General features: G+C 38.8%; 1 protein-coding gene and 1 pseudogene across 1 annotated transcript in view; both read right to left on the reverse strand.

Moving 5' to 3' along the window:
- The window catches only part of PDE11A (phosphodiesterase 11A), a 485,096-nt gene extending 468,886 nt beyond the window's left edge, over positions 1–16,210 (reverse strand). Inside the window, exons 1-2 of the mRNA NM_001077197.2 lie at positions 16,125–16,210; positions 12,173–12,347 (exon numbers count right to left, since the gene is read on the reverse strand). Coding sequence (NP_001070665.1) covers positions 12,173–12,334 — 162 coding nt within the window. The 5' untranslated portion in view covers positions 12,335–12,347; positions 16,125–16,210. The remainder of the gene's footprint in view (positions 1–12,172; positions 12,348–16,124) is intronic.
- On the reverse strand, positions 371–12,341 carry CYCTP (cytochrome c, testis, pseudogene; annotated as a pseudogene).

The following is a 17,569-nucleotide window of genomic DNA, read 5'->3' on the forward strand; positions in this document are numbered from 1 at the left end:
ATGAAAATTAAAGCTAATGTCTTCTATATTTACATTTAAATTACAGAGAAATAAGTATGTGGAAGCCATCATCAACAGTAGTTGTTAGACTTACAAACTATTTTGTGCATGTAGAGACTACTGAACCACAACAGATTTTAGTTTCCTTCCTTCTCCTCCTCCATCCTGACCTATCCCCTTCCTTAGCATGCCAACAAAAGCGAGTTCAGAATCTGAAGGGCTCCTGATCAGTAGATCACACACAATAAAAAATATCAACCTTTATTTTAAAATGTTAAACTTACTACAGGCTGATCAAAAATGATCAAATATGACTTCTCTAAACGTGCAATTTTTGAAATTAGAAATTTTGGCTTATAACATATTTCCGAAGTGAAGATGTTGCCCATTTCAAATACTGAATAAGATCTTCTCTCTCACTCTTCTTTTTAAGACCAGAAAAGGTCATGTTAGTTCCAGGGATATATTTCTTTCTTTTTTTTTTTTTTGAGATGGAGTTTTGCTCTTGTTGCCCAAGCTGGAGTGCAATGGCGCGATCTCAGCTCACTGCAACCTCCGCCTCCCAGGTTCAAGCCATTCTCCTGCCTCAGCCTCCCAAGTAGCTGGGATTACAGGCATGCACCAACATGCCTAGCAATTTTTTTGTATTTTTAGTAGAGATGGGGTTTCACCATGTTAGCCAGGCTGGTCTTGAACTCCTAACCTCAGGTGATCCGCCCTCCTCGGCCTCCAAGGTGCTGGGATTACAGGTGTGAGCCACCACGTACAGTCCCAGGGATATATTTCTTTGGGTTCTCCAAATATTCCATCAGAGTCTCTTCTCCCCATACAATACCTACAAAGGTGAAGGTAAGTTTTAAGTTTGTGTAGTTACATTTGTAGGGCTCACTTTCTGATCTGACCCACATATGTGAACAAAAGATTAATCTTGGACTCAGTAGGGAGGCTATTTTAACTGAGACTTATAGATTCTGACCTATAAGAAATTTCCAAAATGTGTCTCCACTCCTTGGCTTCTCTGTAGAAATCCATACTGTAGAAACAGTCGCATACTGTTTAGGGTCTTCTATGGTAAACCAATGAACTACCACCAAAGACATGTTATGCTTAAGCAGTTCCTCATCCTCCAAGAATCAGAGTGAGTTCCTTCTAGAAAAGGTCTTAGAGATCATGCAATCCAATCTCTAATTTTGTAGATTAGTAAATGATGGTCCAAAGCTTGTCCTAAGATTACAAAGCTACCTACAGTCAAGAATTTATGACTACTAACTCATATTTGCATGTTTTTTCTACCTATCATACCAAGCTGCCTCTATCCAGATCTCCATCAAAATCCATGATTTCAAAAATCCAGTTTTAAGACAATAGAGAAAGGTTCCTTTCTTTTCTTTCTAAAACCAGTCAAAAAGAACATGGAGAAAGAGAAACAGAACTGCTACCTTCACTTTTGATAAAACCTTTCAGGAAGCACCTGTTATAATTGTTATAATTAGAAGTCTACCAAGGACATGAAACCTAGACCAGAGTGAAATGACACCTTTCACTAAGCATCTCTCCAAAGTATGTGACACACTCTGAAAGGCAAAGGCATAAGCCTTTGTTTAGCTCAAAAAGAATAGGATATATCAGCTGGCCATGAAAGTCTTCTTAAATTCAGTTTTACACCATGGAGGACCAGGGGAGCCAGGATGAATGAAGAAAACATAAATATGTCCTCTTTGAAAGAAGCACTCTAACTTATAAGGTACAAGAGAAACTGCAAAGGTAACATAACCCCAGGCCTGCCAGTCTTTGCCAGCTGAAGTAAAGAGCCAAATAACAGCCCCACCAAAACATAAACCCATAAACGCTCAGGTATATGTTATCGCTAATATAACTATGCATAAGGAAGACATCAAAACTAACTGGAAAACTCAGACCATCATCCTTATTTTCCTTCTGCAAATAACTAGTCCAAAAAGATTATCTTCATCAGAAGATGGGTAATAATAAAAAATAACCAGCACAAGAAAGTACTGAAAATACACACAATACACACAATACACACAGTACACACGCAAACACACACACACCACATACATACACACAGCAGAAAGGAATATGAAAAACAAAAGTTAGGCCAGGCATGGTGGCTCACACCTGCAATCCCAGCACTTAGGGAGCCTGAGGCGGGTGGATCGCTTGAGCTCAGGAGTTCAAGACCAGCCTTGGTGACGTGGTGAAACCCCATCTCTACAAAAAATAGAAAAAAAAATGGCCGGGCATGGTGGTGCACTTCCGGGGTCCCAGCTACTCAGGAGGCTGAGGCGGGATGATCAGTTGAGTCCAGGATGTCAAGGCTGCAATGAGCTGAGATCGCACCACTGCACTCCAGCCTGGGCAACAGAGTGACAGCCTGTCTCGAAAAACAAAAACGAAATGTTAAATGAAAAATACACATCTGAAATTATGTATTAATAAATAGGCAGATGAAAATCATAGCCATATTTCCATGGATTCAAAAAAGGCCTTTATGAATTAAGGGCTCAAAGTAGAGTGTTCTAGTCTATTTTCACACTGATGTAAAGAAATACCCAAGACTGGGTAATTTATAAAGGAAAGAGGTTTAATTGCCTCACAATTCCACATAGCTGAGACGGCCTCAAGAAACTTACCATGATGGTGGAAGGTGAAGAGGAAGCAAGCACCTTCTTCATAAGGCAGCAGGAAAGAGAAGCATGAAAAGGAGGAATTTCCAAACACTTATAAAACCATCAGATATTGTGAGAACTCACTATCATGAGAACAGCATGGGGGAAACTGCCCCCATGATCCAATCACCTCCCACCAGGTCCCTCCCTCCACACGTGGAGATTATGGGGATTGCAATTCGAGATGAGATTTGGGTGGGGACACAGAGCCAAACCATATCATTCCACCCCTGACCCCTTCCAAATCTAACATCATTTTTACGTTGCAAAACCAACCATGCCTTCTCAACAGTCCCCCAAAGTCTCAACTCATTTCAGCATTAACTCAAAAGTCCATAGTCAAAAGTCTCACCTGAGATAAGGTGAGTCCCTTCCTCCTATGAGCCTGTAAAATCTAAAGCAAGTTATTTACTTCCTAGATATAATGGGGATACAAACAATGGGTGCATATACCCATTCCAAATGGGAGAAATTGGCCAAAACAAAGGGGCTACAGGCCCCGTGCAAGTCCGAAATCCAGCACGGCAGTCAAATCTTAAAGCTCCAAAATGATCTCCTTTGACTTCATGTCTCACATCTGGGTCACGCTGATGCAAGAGGTGGGTTCCCATGGTCTTGGGCAGCTCCACCCCTGTGGCTTTGCAGGGTACAGCCCTGCTCCTGGCTGCTTTCACAGGCTGGCATTGAGTGTCTGTGGCAAAACAGGCACACATGCAAGCTGTTGGTGGATCTACCATTCTGGGGTCTGGAGAATGGTGGCCCCCTTCTCATAGCTCCATTAGGCAATGCCCCAGTAGGGACTCTGTGATGGGGCTCCAACCCACATTTCCCTTTCACACTGCCCTAGCAGAGGTTCTCCATGAAGACTCTGCCTCTAGAGCAGACTTCTGCCTGGACATCCAGGTGTTTCTATACATCCTGTGAAATCTAGGCAGAGGTTCCCAAACCTCAATTCTTGACTTCTGTGTACCTGCAGGCCCCACACCACATAGAAGCTTTCCAGGCTTGGGGCTTGCACCCTCTGAAGCAACGACCTGAGCTGTACCTTGGCCCCTTTTAGCCATAGTTGGAACTGGAGTGGCTGGGAAGCAGGGCACCAAATCCCAAGGATGCACAGAGCACAGAGCAGCAGTGGGGCCCTGGGCTTGGCCCACAAAACCATTTTTCCCACCTAGGTCTCAGGCCTGCAATTGGAGGAGCTGCCTTGAAGGTTTCTGACATGCCCTGGAGACATTTTCCCCATTGTCTTGGTGCTTAACATTGTCTTGGCAATTAACTCCTTGTTACTTACAGAAATTTCTGTAGCCAGCTTGAATTTCTCCCCAGAAAACAGGTTTTTCTTTTCTTTTCTTTTTTTTTTTTGAGATGGAGTCTCGCTCTGTCGCCCAGGCTGGAGTGCAGTGGCATGATCTCAGCTCACCGCAAGCCCCGCCTCCTGGGTTCACGCCATTCTCCCGCCTCAGCCTCCAGAGTAGCTAGGAGTACAGGCACCCACCATCAAGCCCAGCTAATTTTTTTTTTTTTTTTGTATTTTTACTAGAGGCAGGGTTTCACTGTGTTAGCCAGGATGGTCTCGATCTCCTGACCTCATGATCCGCCCGCCTCGGCCTCCCAAAGTGCTGGGATTACAGGCCTGAGCCACTGCGCCTGGCCCACGTTTTTCTTTTCTGCCACATGGTCGGGCTGCAAATTTTCCAAACTTTTATGCTCTGTCACCTCTTGAACGCTTTGCTGCTTAGAAATGTCTTCTACCAGATACCCTAAATCATCTCTCTCAAGTTCGAAGTCCCATAGATCTCTAGGACAGGGGCAAAATGCCGCCAGTCTCTTTGCTAACGCATAGCAACAGTGACATTTACTGCAGTTCCTGATAAGTTCCTCATTTTCATCTGAGACCACCTCAGCCTGAACTTCATTGTCCACATCACTGTCAGCATTTTGGTCAAAACCATTCAACAAGTTTCTAGGAAGCTCCCAACTTTCTCATATCTTCCTGTCTTCTGAGCCCTCCAAATTGTTCCAACATCTGCCCATTACCCAGTTAGCCATAGCTGAAACTGGAGTGGCACATTTTGTTTTTTTTTTAAGACAGAGTCTTGCTCTGTCACCTAGGCTGTAGTGCAGTGGTGCAATCGCAACTCATTGCAACCTCTGCCTCTGGGGTTCAAGCAATTCTCCTGCCTCAGCCTCCTGAGTAGCTGGGACTATAGGCACATGCCACCACACCCGACTAATTTTTTGTATTTTTAGTAGAGACGGGGTTTCACCGTGTTAGCCAGGATGGTCTTGATCTCCTGACCTCATGATCCACCTGCCTTGGCCTCCCAAAGTGCTGGGATTACAGGTGTGAGCCACCGTGCTCGGCCATCTCTTACACATTTTTAAGTATCTTTATAGCAGTGCCCCAAACCCCTGGTACCAATTTACTATACTAGTCCATTCACACTGCTATAAAGAAATACCCGAGACTAGGTAATTTATAAAGGAAAGAGGTTTAATTGACTCACAGTTCCACATGGCTTGGAGGCCTCAGGAAACTCATAATCATGGAGAAAGATGAAGGGGAAGCAAGGTACCTTCTTCACAAGGTGGCAGGAGAGAGAAGTGTGAAGGAGGAAATTCCAAACACTCATAAAACCATCAGATCTCGTGAGAACTCAAAGACTGTAACAAGAACAGCATGAGGGAAACCACCCCCATGATCCAATCACCTCCCACCCGGTCCCTCCCTCGACATGTGAGGATTATGGGGATTATAATTTGAGATGAGATTTGGATGGGGACACAGAGCCAAACCATATCATAGAGCTACAAAGAAGCTAGTAGAAAATGATAAAACAGAAACATATAAATGACAGCAAAAATGGACAATGCTGCTGCTAGCACAATCAGACTTCAAAATACTGATAAAAATGAAATGGAAAAAATAGTTTTAAATGATCACTCTAGCTATCAGCTCTAAGGTCAAATGACAGATACAGAAGATACTCAGACAAAGGAGATACAAGATCTGCACAACCGGTGGCCCAAGTAAGATTTTTAAAAAACAAATGAAATAGAGTAAAACTATTACAACATATAAATCAAGAAAACTTTCAAAACTAAAGGCACTGAATCTATCAATTGGAAGAATACAACATGTCCCAGGAGATAGTGAAATTGATCAATCAAGGCCTAGATATAGCCTAGCAAATTTGCTAACTCTCAGTAAGACTTTTACTGAAACATAGGGGGAAAAAATAAAATAAAAAACCAAGTAACTCATAATGGAAAGGCAACAGGCTGGTTTCATATTTCTCCAAACAATAATTCAACATAAAGCATATAAAATCCTGAGCAATTAAAATGTCTCCCAATCATTTTACAACCAAATTATCATTCAAGTGTAATAACAATCCCCAGCTGTATTTAAACATCCAAAAACTGGGACAATATAGTTCTGGTAATACTTTCTTATTGTTACAATGAATAGAAAACCATCCACTAACCAAAAGATAAATGAAGATAATATGGTAAAATCTGGGAACACTCACTGGTACTATTTAAATGTAGAACAAACATTAAAAACAACTGTGGTAATTATGGTTACATGGGGTGTAAATGATATATGGCATCTCAGAGTAGAAATAACAACATACATAAGTGGTAAGAGTTGGAGACTATGAAAAATGGGAGATTGTATAAATATTTTGGCTTTCTCATCCTTCATAGAGGAGGATAAGCAGATGTTGCTTAATGCAGATCAATCTAATTGTAGAGGCACATGGATATTCTTTAGAGTATAAATATGACTATCAAAATTGTCAAAAAGAATAATATTGCCAAATAAATTTAGTTGGTAGAGGGACAGGAATAGGAGAATGTCAGGAAAAGTGAACATACATAATTTCCTTACCACACATAATGGTAAATATTTCTTTTGAACTATTTGGATTTTTGTATAATGTAAGCATTTCAAAATATTTTTAAAGTTATTAATACATTTATGATTCAATGTGTTCCTACTGCATCCACTAACAAAATTTGACATGACAATAAGCAAAAGATAAAGACTTAAATCCCTAATAAGATAGTTTAGCTAATATGCTAATCTCATGATACGATTTCTTTAAAGGCCCAAGAAAACCAGGGTTTGTATCCTAGTTCCACCATTTATTAGCATAGAATCCTGGAAAAATCATGAATTAATTCAAACAATTTGTTTCTAAAACCCGCTTCAATTATCATTGCCCAAAAATGCAAGTGGTGCTTCAATGCACTATAAAGACATTATTCTCAAAAGAAAAATTTTATCCATTTACTGATGTTTTTAAAAATACAGTACGGCCAGGAACAGTGGCCCACGCCTGTAATCCCAGCACTTTGGGAGGCCGAGGCGGGCAGATCACTTGAGGCCAGGATTTCGAGATCAGCCTGGCCAACATGGTGAAACCCCGTCTCTACTAAAAATACAACAACAGCAAAAAAAATTAGCCGCATGTGGTGGCACACGCCTGTAATCCCAGCTACTTCAGAGGCTGAGGCAGGAAAATAGCTTGAACCTGGGATGCAGTGGTAGCAGTGAGCCGAGATCACAACACTGTACTCCAGCCTGGGTGACAGAGTGAGTGAGACTCCATCTCAAGAGAAAAAAAAAAAAAAAAAAAAAAATTGAAGAACAAAGAAAAACACAGTATATATGGTTCAACATCACCAATCATTAGGGAAATGAAAACCAAAACCACATGAGATAGCACTTCAAACCCATTAGGATGGCTGTTATCACAAAAACAGAAAATAAGTGTTGGTTGAGAAGTTGGAGAAATTAGAACCCTTGTGTATTCTAATTCACAATGGAATTGTGGAAACATAAAATGGTGCAACCACTGTGAAAAATGATATGGCTGTTCCTCAAAAAATTAGACACAGAATTATCATGGGATTCAGCAATTCCACTTCTGGGTATATACCCAAAAGAATGAAAACACGGACTCGACAGATATTTGTACACCCATGTGCATAGCAGCATTAGTCACAAGAGCCAAAAGGTGGAAGCAACCCAAGTCTCTATCAACGGATAAATAGATAAACAAAATGCTATCTACATATAATAGAATATTATTCAGTCTTTAAAAAGATAGAAATTTCAACACGTTATAACATAAATGAACCTTGAAGACATTATGCTAAGTGAAATAAGCCACTCACAAAAGGACCAATACTGTATGATTTGATTCCACTTGTATTATATACCTAGGGCAGTCAAATTCACAGACAAAAAGCAGAATGTCAGTCGCCAGGGGCTATTCAATGGGTACAGAGTTTCAGTTTGAGAAAATGAAAATGTTCTGGAAATGGATGGTGGTTATGGTTGCAAAACAGTGTGTGCTTAAAATGACACAGAATTGTAAGTTAAGATGGTTAAAATGGTAAATTTTATGTTATATATATTTTGCTACAATTTTTAAAACCACATAAGATTATTATAATCATGAGTTTTGTAAAACTATATTCTATACAAGTCATATGGGACAAAGAATCTTTAAAATTGAGAATTTCTGTATTCTTCTGAAAATAAAAATAGTGTAATTATTTGCAACAGAAAGGTCATACACAAAAAAATAAAATATGGTTGACAGTGCACCACAATTTTTATTAACACTGAACTACTGACTTCATGGTTCTTCTTAATTATTGAAGTCTGTTTTTAGCCAAGCTGTGCTAACATATTTTTTAAATCCTTGTTTAGTTTTAAGTAAACTTACTTTAAAATCCTAGTGCAATTAACATAGTAAGCTACTTATTGTTCTTATCTCATCAGCAGAACTAACAAACAATAATATTATATCCTCAAATCAGTCACAAATATTACCTAAATAATCCAATTTAGGGAAATTTTATTTCTAATTCTTAAATAATATTAAACCCAAGCCTTATACAGCTTTCAACCATTGGCAACAATCTACATAATAAAAGGCATATTTGGTATAAGTTTTAATATTATTTCAAATCAACGCTATTGAGGAATAAATTCCTCAAACTACTGGCAGTTAGAGGAACAACATTGGCTTAAGTCTGCTCTACAAATTAGAAGTTCAAAAATTGTGCTTATAACAGGATAATAATAAAATGACTCTATAGAGAAATACTTTAAAAATTAAAAAGCTATATAAATGCTAACAATGAAGATGAGTTAAAAACTGATCTATTCAGTAGTCTATCAACTGAAAATCCTATTGCAATAACTGCAATACAAGTTTAATACTACCTGCCCACAGTAAGGGCAGACTCCACAGTACCTTTGCTTCAGACACCAGCTGCAAGCTCAGCGGCCCCCAAGCCACCCAAACTTCCAACTAACTGGCTACAAATTTGGGGGTTCCCACAACCTCATCGACTTCAATAATTTATTACTAGAACAACTCACAGAAATCAGGAAAGAACTATATTTACAATTATAGTTGTATTATAAAGGATACAAATCAGGACTAGTCAGGGGAAGAGACCCATAGGGTGACAGCTGGGAGGGTCCCAAATGAAAAGCTTCTGAGTCATTTATCTGTGGAATCAGGTCTCATCACTCTCCCAACACATGGATGTGTTCACCAAGTAGGAAGCTCAACCAGAGTTCCAGTTGAAAGTGTCTAAAGTTTTTAATTGGGGCTTCAATACACAGGCATGACTGTGTGAATCACTGGCCATGTGACTGAACTCAACCTCCAACCCCCTTTCTGTTCCCAGAGGTCAGACTTACTCATCTAGCTCAAAGCCTTAATTCTGAAATCACCTGATTGGTCCTTGCAGTTTGGTCAGCACCCATTCTGAAACTATCTGGAAGTTCACCGCAATTCATCTTATTAACATAAACTCAGGTCTTGGTCCCAGGGGCCAACTATAATAACAAACATACTCCGGTCACTCTAGAAATTCCAAGGTTTTAGAGGTTCCTTGCCAGGAACCCAGGACAAAGACCAAATTATTACCAGTACCTAGTACCAGCATTTTTGCACTTCCCAAATACAATGATATTGTGTTAATAATAAATATGCTGATATTTTAAAAGATGATAAAATACTACTGACTTGACAAATATTAAATTTTATTCAATGTACTTTTATTATAAGTACTTTATCAATTATGTATTTATAAATTTATTTACTTAATTTCTTTTTTTTGTTTTTTTGAGACAGGGTCTCACTCTGTCACCCAGGCGGGAGTGCAGCTGTGAGATTATGGGTCACTGCAGCCTTAACCTCCTGGGCTCAAGGCATCCTCCTGCATCAGCCTCCTGAGTAACTAGGACTAGAGGAATATGCCACCACATCTGTCTAATTTTTTTTTTTTTTGAGACAAAGTCTTGCTCTGTTGCCCCAGCTGGAGTGCAGTGGCATGATCTTGGCTCATCACAACCTCTGCCTCCTGGGTTCAAGCGATTCTCCTGCCTCAGCCTCCCAAGTAGCTGGGACTGCAAGCGTGCACCACCATGCCTGGCTGATTTTTGTATTTTTAGTAGAGACGGGGTTTCACTCTGTTGGCCAGGCTGGTCTTGAACTCCTGACCTCGTGATCTGCCAACCTCGGCCTCCCAAAGTGCTGGGATTACAGGCGTAAGCCACCATGCCTGGTCTAAGTTTTTTTTTTTTTTTTTTTTTTTTTTTTAGAGATGGGGTTTCACCATATTGGCCAAGCTGGTCTTGAACTCCTGACCTCAGGTGATCCACCTGCCTTGGCTTCCCAAAGTACAGGGATTACAGGCATAAGCCACCATGCCCAGCCATCAGCTAATTTATTTTTTGTAGAGACAGGGTCTTACTACATTGCCCAGGCTGGTCTTACAGATCAAGTAATCCTCCTGGCCTCAAGTAATCCTCCCACCTCAGCCTCCCAAAGTGTTGGGATTACATGTGTGTGCCACCATGTTTGGCCAATTATGTATTTATTTTATATGTAAAAGTAGTCCTTTATTATGAGTCTCCCCCAAATAAAGATATGTTGAGGTCCTAACCCCTGGTAACTCAGAATATGAGTTTGTCTGGAAATAGAGTCATTGCAGATGTGATTAATTGAGATGAGGTCATATTGGTGTAGGATGAGCCCTTAATCCAATATGATTGGTGTCCTTATGAATATGATTGGTGTCATTATGAGAAAATGGTCATGTAAAGACAGAGATGCACAGGGGTCATGTAATAACAAAGTCAGAGATTGGAATTATGTAGCTAGAGGTCATAACTAGAATTTCACCCATAAAAAGGAATGAAAAGCATCACAAGAAGTGTTGATTGCCATAAAAAATTATTAGACTTAGTTTCTCAGTACCACCTGTTGTATTCCAGGTTGTTTGTTGTAATTTTGTTGTTGTTGTTGTTAAATATACATTTCCAGTGGGGGGGGAAGGAATGAAGTACTGATACATGCTACAATTTAGATGGGCCTTGAAAACATTATGCTAAGTGAAAGAAGTCAGACACAAAGGGTCACATATTATATGATTCCTTTTATATGATCCAATAGGCAAATCCAAAGAGACAGAATGCAGATTAGTGGTTGCCAGGGAATAGGGTTAAGGGGGAATGCAGAGTGATTACCTAATGGATGCAGTTGTTCTGGAGTGATAAAAAAGTTTTGAAAATAGGGAAAGGCGGTGATTTTACAGCATTATGAATGCACTAAATGCTACGGAATTGTACACTTTAAAATGTCTAATTATGTTATATAAATTTCACTTCAATAAAAATAATAAAAAGAAATAAAAAATAAAATAAAATCCTTTTCAAATAGTAGTGACTTGAAATGCCAACCTATAAGATATGCTAGGCCCCAAGAAAAGTTTCAAATAGAGTTATACCCTATTTTGAAAAAAGGTGATATATATATATAATCTCAAAAAAGCTGATATATATATATAAAACCATATATATATTTAACAGGATTATCATATTATAATTTCCATTCTTAGACAGATAGATAGATAGATAGATGTACACATATAAATCTCCATATGATTAATCCAGGAATGACAAATTGCTTTGCAAAGATAGTGTAGTCTTTTCCAACCACTTCGATCTTAACCCTAAGATACTGTCTCACTTTACCCTCTTCCCACAAACAAAAAAACATGCTGAATATACGCTTCAAACTATATAGTATTTCTCCCACTCTGCTAAAATCAATACTACAAATAGAATCACTACTGCCATTATACCACTAAAATATGATTTTTTAAAAATCTAGCTTATACTTTTTCAAGAAAAATGTATTACCTAAAATCAAATACCCTGTATAGGCAAAAACCTATGCCATACAAGATTCTTAATTCTTCTGATTAAAAGGATGATCAGTTATCCAAATGCAGGTCTTATGATATAAATCCATATTTCAGTAATATGTAAAGAGTGGTCCATTTTTAACGCTGCAAATTAGGAAATTATTATAATGCCAAATCATATGCTTTATTCTTTCCTACAGTGTATCTGGTTCTCTCCCACAACTGCTAGTTTTTACCTTTGTTTTTGTTTGCCTCTGTATAAGAAAATCCTGGTGCTTTTCCTGTTTTTCAGCCAAAGAGGCCCCAGAGATTTGGACCAGTCTTGTGATTTTCACCTTTTTCCACTGTGTGGCACTGAGCACATTTCTGAATAAAGGTCTTCTTGCCTGCTTCAGCATCTCCCATGTTGCTCTGCAATGGAACATTAAAACCACAAACCAAAAAAATATATATATTAGATTTTCAAAGCCGGGGAGAAAAAAGAATTCCATCATTTTGACTGAAGTGAATGCTGATGATGTTAAACAAAAACATATCCTTTAAAGCATGCAAGCTTTAATGTATGAGTGCTCAAAAACACAGATATATTATAACATCCAATTTCATAAAGACAATCATCTCATTAATTAGGCTTATTTTAAGTTTCTAGCCATAGCTACTTCAGAAACTGCTATTGGTATCAAACGGGTTTTACTTCAGCCTTCAAAGAATTATATTAATTTATCCAGGTCAATTATATTCCTTTTCATTTCTAAAAAGTGCATGTGCAAAAGATGATGTAAAACATATAGGTCTAATTTTGCAACCCCTTATTTAAAAATAAGAATAGAACAAATAGGAAAGGTGTTTAACTATGATATTACTATGAGTATTTATATGTCTACAATAATCAAACTGTAAAAATAAAAATTATACAGAAAAGAATGCAGCCATAGAAACCTGTATGTAACATAATTTCTCATTTACTTTACATTCTTAGCTATAGATACCAGATTAGATCAAGCATTATCTGAAAGCAATCAGAAATAACATTATTGAATTCAGTCAGCAATAGTATGCATTTAATACTAATGTAGTGGAAAATACACAGTTTTAAGTAGTAAAGACCCTACTGGGTTGGGTGCGGTGGCTCATGTCTGTAATCCCAGCACTTTGGGAGGCCAAGGCGGGCAAATCACAAGGTCAGGAGTTCGAGATCAGCCCGGCCAAGATGGTGAAACCCCATCTCTACTAAAAATACAAAAATTAGCCGGGTGTGGTGGCGGACGCCTGTAATCCCAGCTACTCGGGAGGTTGAAGCAGAGAATTGCTTGAACCTGGGAGGCGGAGGTTGCAGTAAGCTGAGATTGCGCCACTGCACTCCAGCCTGGGTGACAGAGAGAGACTCCCTCTCAAAAAACAAAAACAAAAACAAAAACCTTACTGTATGATGGTAGACATATAAAATAAATTTTTTACAAAGATATTTTGGTTGAGACTGTTAAAAATTCTATAACTAAATAAATGCCTCCTCCATCTAAAATGATGTAAAAATTAAAATAAGTTCAAACTATCAAAAAATTGTACTTTATCGATGTCTCAGGAGGTTCTCCATGGTGGTACAGGATGGCATAATGAAGGCCCTGAATGTGGAACCTGATGGCATAGGTCTCACCTGCAGCCTGGCACCCAATATCACCTCACAGCTCTGAGCCCCTGGGCCAGATCACTTCCTCCACCCCTCCCTATCTCACCTGCCCAGCCAACTGGGACCTTGGCCAGATTTCTGCAATAAACACTTGCGGTTTCTGTCCAAAAAAAAAAAAGTGTACTTTAATATAGTAAGGAATATGCTGTCTGGGTTCTATTTTTCTGTTTTTGTGTTCTGTGAAGAATGAGTGCAAGGGAGATGGGGTTTGGGATGGATTTGAACACAAAGAATTACTACTACAGACATCATGAAAATACCAAATTCTTTGAGAGTAGAGTCCTAAGCACATATTGATCTATCAATAGAAACAGAAAACGTTTGTGTTATTCTGCCAATATTGAAGAAACCTATTGTTTAACTACAATTCATAAATTGTTTAACATACTGTGGTTAAACAATCTGTATTCTTCAATATTGGCAGAATAACACAAACATTCTTAGTTACTGCTCCAAGAAAGGCCAATGCTTTATACACAACAACCTGCAAAACCAGCTCTCCCTAACTTCTTTAAATCTATGTGGAAACCCATAACAGTGTCAACAATCCAAGTAAAGGGAAGATAGTTTTCTTTAGGCAGTATCCAAAAACAACTAAGCTATTAACCAATAGTTCAGGTTTCATGGAAAGCCGGGTAAGAAAACTTACTTTATCCAAGAGAAGCTTACTTTAAAACTTCAAACATCACTCAGAGTACTGCATTCAATTATCAGTTCTATTAATTACCTAAATAGGTTCAGAATTCAGTGAGCCTTTGAGCACAGACCATAGAGGATAAAACTTCACTCACAAAAGCACATTTTTGGCCTTTTCACAAAATACATTCACCATAACCATAAAGCTTGTATCATAAAAAAGTCATCTAAGCACTAACTAGATAATCTTTATTTCCAATTTTTATACAAAGCAGAAAAATCAGATTGAGGCTGGGCATGGTAGCTCACACCTGTAATCCCAGCACTTTGGGAGGCCGAGGTGGTTGGATCACCTGAGGTCAGGAGTTCGAGACCAGCCTGGCCAACATGGTGAAACCTTGTCTCTACTAAAAATACAAAAATTAGCCGGGTGTGGTGGTGCATGCCTGTAGTCCCACCTACTCAGGAGGCTGAGGTGAGAGAATCACTTGAACCCGGGAAGCGAAGGTTGCAGTGAGCCGAGATCGTGTCACTGCACTCCAGCCTGGGCGACAAAGCAAGACTCTCTCAAAAAAAAAAAAAAAAAAAAGGAAAAGAAAAATCATATTGATTTTTATACTAAGTAAATGTTGCTAGTAATTCAGGAAACCAGACATTTAAAAACAAACAAAAAACTGTCCTTACTCATAAACTACAGATTTCACATTAAAGTCACGTGTAACATATTTCCATTATAACTGTTAAAACTACCAGCATTAATCACAATTAAAACGTTTACTTCTGCCCTCTCTAATCATAGACGAATACTGCCAGTGCAAATACCTATGACCCTCTTCCAAGTGCATTAAAACCAACAGATTCAGTAATAGCAGGAAGGGAAGAGCAGGATAGCAAGGGATAGAATATCTTAAGAAGGACAGGAAGAATATGAAAAGAATTCATTTTGTCCTATAATCATTTGGCACTCTATCAGCATTTCATATTTCAAAAGAAATATCTCACTGAAATAGGCAAAGATGTGGCATCTAGTATGAAAATGGTCATTCTTCCAAGAATGAAGTAATTTCAACATTAAATAGAGTAACAGTAGCAAACATTTGTATGTGCTTAGTATGTGACAGGCATATTCTAAGCACTTTATATATTATTAACTCATTTAGTTCTCACAACAGCCCTGTAAGATGGATACCATTAACATCTCTATTTTTATAGATGTAGAAAACGAGGCAAACAGAAATTAAGTGACTTGTTTACGGTCACAGATTGGTGAGCAGTGGAGAAGAATTAATATTCAATCTATAATCTTATAGGTTTAACAATTCCTTTTTTTTTCTTTTTTTTTTTTTTTTTTGAGACGGAGTCTCACTCTGTCGCCCAGGCCGGAGTGCCGTGGTGTGATCTCGGCTCACTGCAACCTCCGCTTCCCGGGTTCAAGTGATTCTCCTGCCTCAGCCTCCTGAGTAGCTAGGATTACAGGCATGCACCACTATGCCTGGATAATTTTTGTATTTTTAGTAGAGACGGGGTTTCACCATGTTGGTCAGGCTGGTCTTGAACTCCTGACCTCGTGATCCGCCTGCCACGGCTTCCCAAAATGCTGGGATTAGAGGCGTAAGCCACCATGCCAAGCCAACAATTACTTTTTAAGGGTGACTTGGCAACCCTGTGTTGAACACAATATCTGTAACACTGCAGATGCTTACAACTTTTTACCCAACTGAGAGTGCTTAAAGAGGAATAGGTGGGTACATACCATTGCTATGTCTTATTTTTCATAAAAAGAGAAATGCTAATGAAACACTTTTTAATATTGGCATTAAAAACGGCCAGCGGTTCCTCCCTTTGCCCCCGCTCCCAGCAGTCACCTGGAACAGCCACCTGGCCAGAGTCCACGCCTCAACTTCGAGGCTGGCGATCCAGAAAGAGCACCTCACGCCCTGGGCTGCAAGCGCAGCCGGACGCGCGCGACCAGTGATCGCCAGCCAATGGCAAGCCGGGACCCGGTCCCACTGCTGATTGGCCCCCAGATCCCGTGGGATCTCACCTCTCGCAGAGGCTTAAAGCCTTGTACTTGCTGTGCAGTGCTTGGCTCTGCGTGCCCGCTGTCCAGTAGCTGTGGATAGCTCTTGAGCTGTCGGAAACTGGCTAATTCAACTGAAGAAATGAATTTTTAATTATTTTCATTATAATTCATTTTAATTTTAGGTAATTTTAAGTAATTTTAATTTAAATAGCCACAGTCACCAGATGCTTTAATGAAACTATTCTAAGTGGTATCTATGAATTTTGTCCTGTGATCTACACATTTAAAAGATGTATGTCATCAAGTTGAATCAAAAGGAGCAGGCATACTGTGAAAAAAAAAATCAGGTGTTAGATATTATTCTCAAACTCAAAGGCATGCAAACTCAAGAAGGAGACTACCATTTCTTGAGTGCCTGCCACAGGTCAGACTAAGTAATTGCCTACGTTATCAGTAGACAGTAGCCTTACAGATGGGTCAAATGGAAACTCTGGATCATATTCATATACAACAATCTGAAAGCTACTAATTGATCACCAATAAGTCTTAGTTTTAAAACCTATAAAAAATTTGCAAATAGGGCGAAATATTTTTAGTTAATTGATGTAACATATGAAGACTAATATCACCAACTAAGTAAGCCTCATTGTACTTCAGTTTGGAAAATAATGACAAAAATTTACTATTTGCTCCTGGCATTTCAAAAATTAGTCACAATATCACCTCTCATTTTTAAAAAGAAAAGATTTGAGGGAGAAAAAGTTTCAAAAAAATCTGAATTTCATGTGAAACAAACATGTGTGCACATTCTAATAACAGTGCTTTATAGGCTACATGTTCTAAAGCCTTGAAAAAAATTTAATCTGCAAATGCCCAGCACCTGGTTTCTTCTATTAAGCAGACTAACTAAAAATCATTCTTTTAAACCTCAGACATTTTTAGGTGTTTTAGTTACATGTAATTCATGTTCAAAGGTTTTATGATTTGAAATATAACAATTTGGTCATTGAGTGATGAAATGTTCTAAAATTGATTGCGATGATGCTTGCACAATGCTGTGAAGGCACTAAAAACGATTTAATTGAATACATCAAATGAGTGAATTGTATGATGTAAGAATTAGAACTCACTGGGTGTGGTGGGTCTCACCTGTAATCCCAGCTACTTAGGAGGCGTAGGCAAGAGAATCACTTAAGGCCAGTTCGAGATTGCCCTAGGCAACATAGTGAGACACCAATCCCTTAAAAAAAAAAAAAAAAAAGAAAAGAAAAAATAAGATAAGAAGAA

Source organism: Homo sapiens, chromosome 2, assembly GCF_000001405.40.
Source record: "Homo sapiens chromosome 2, GRCh38.p14 Primary Assembly".
Taxonomy (NCBI): Eukaryota; Metazoa; Chordata; class Mammalia; order Primates; family Hominidae; genus Homo; species Homo sapiens.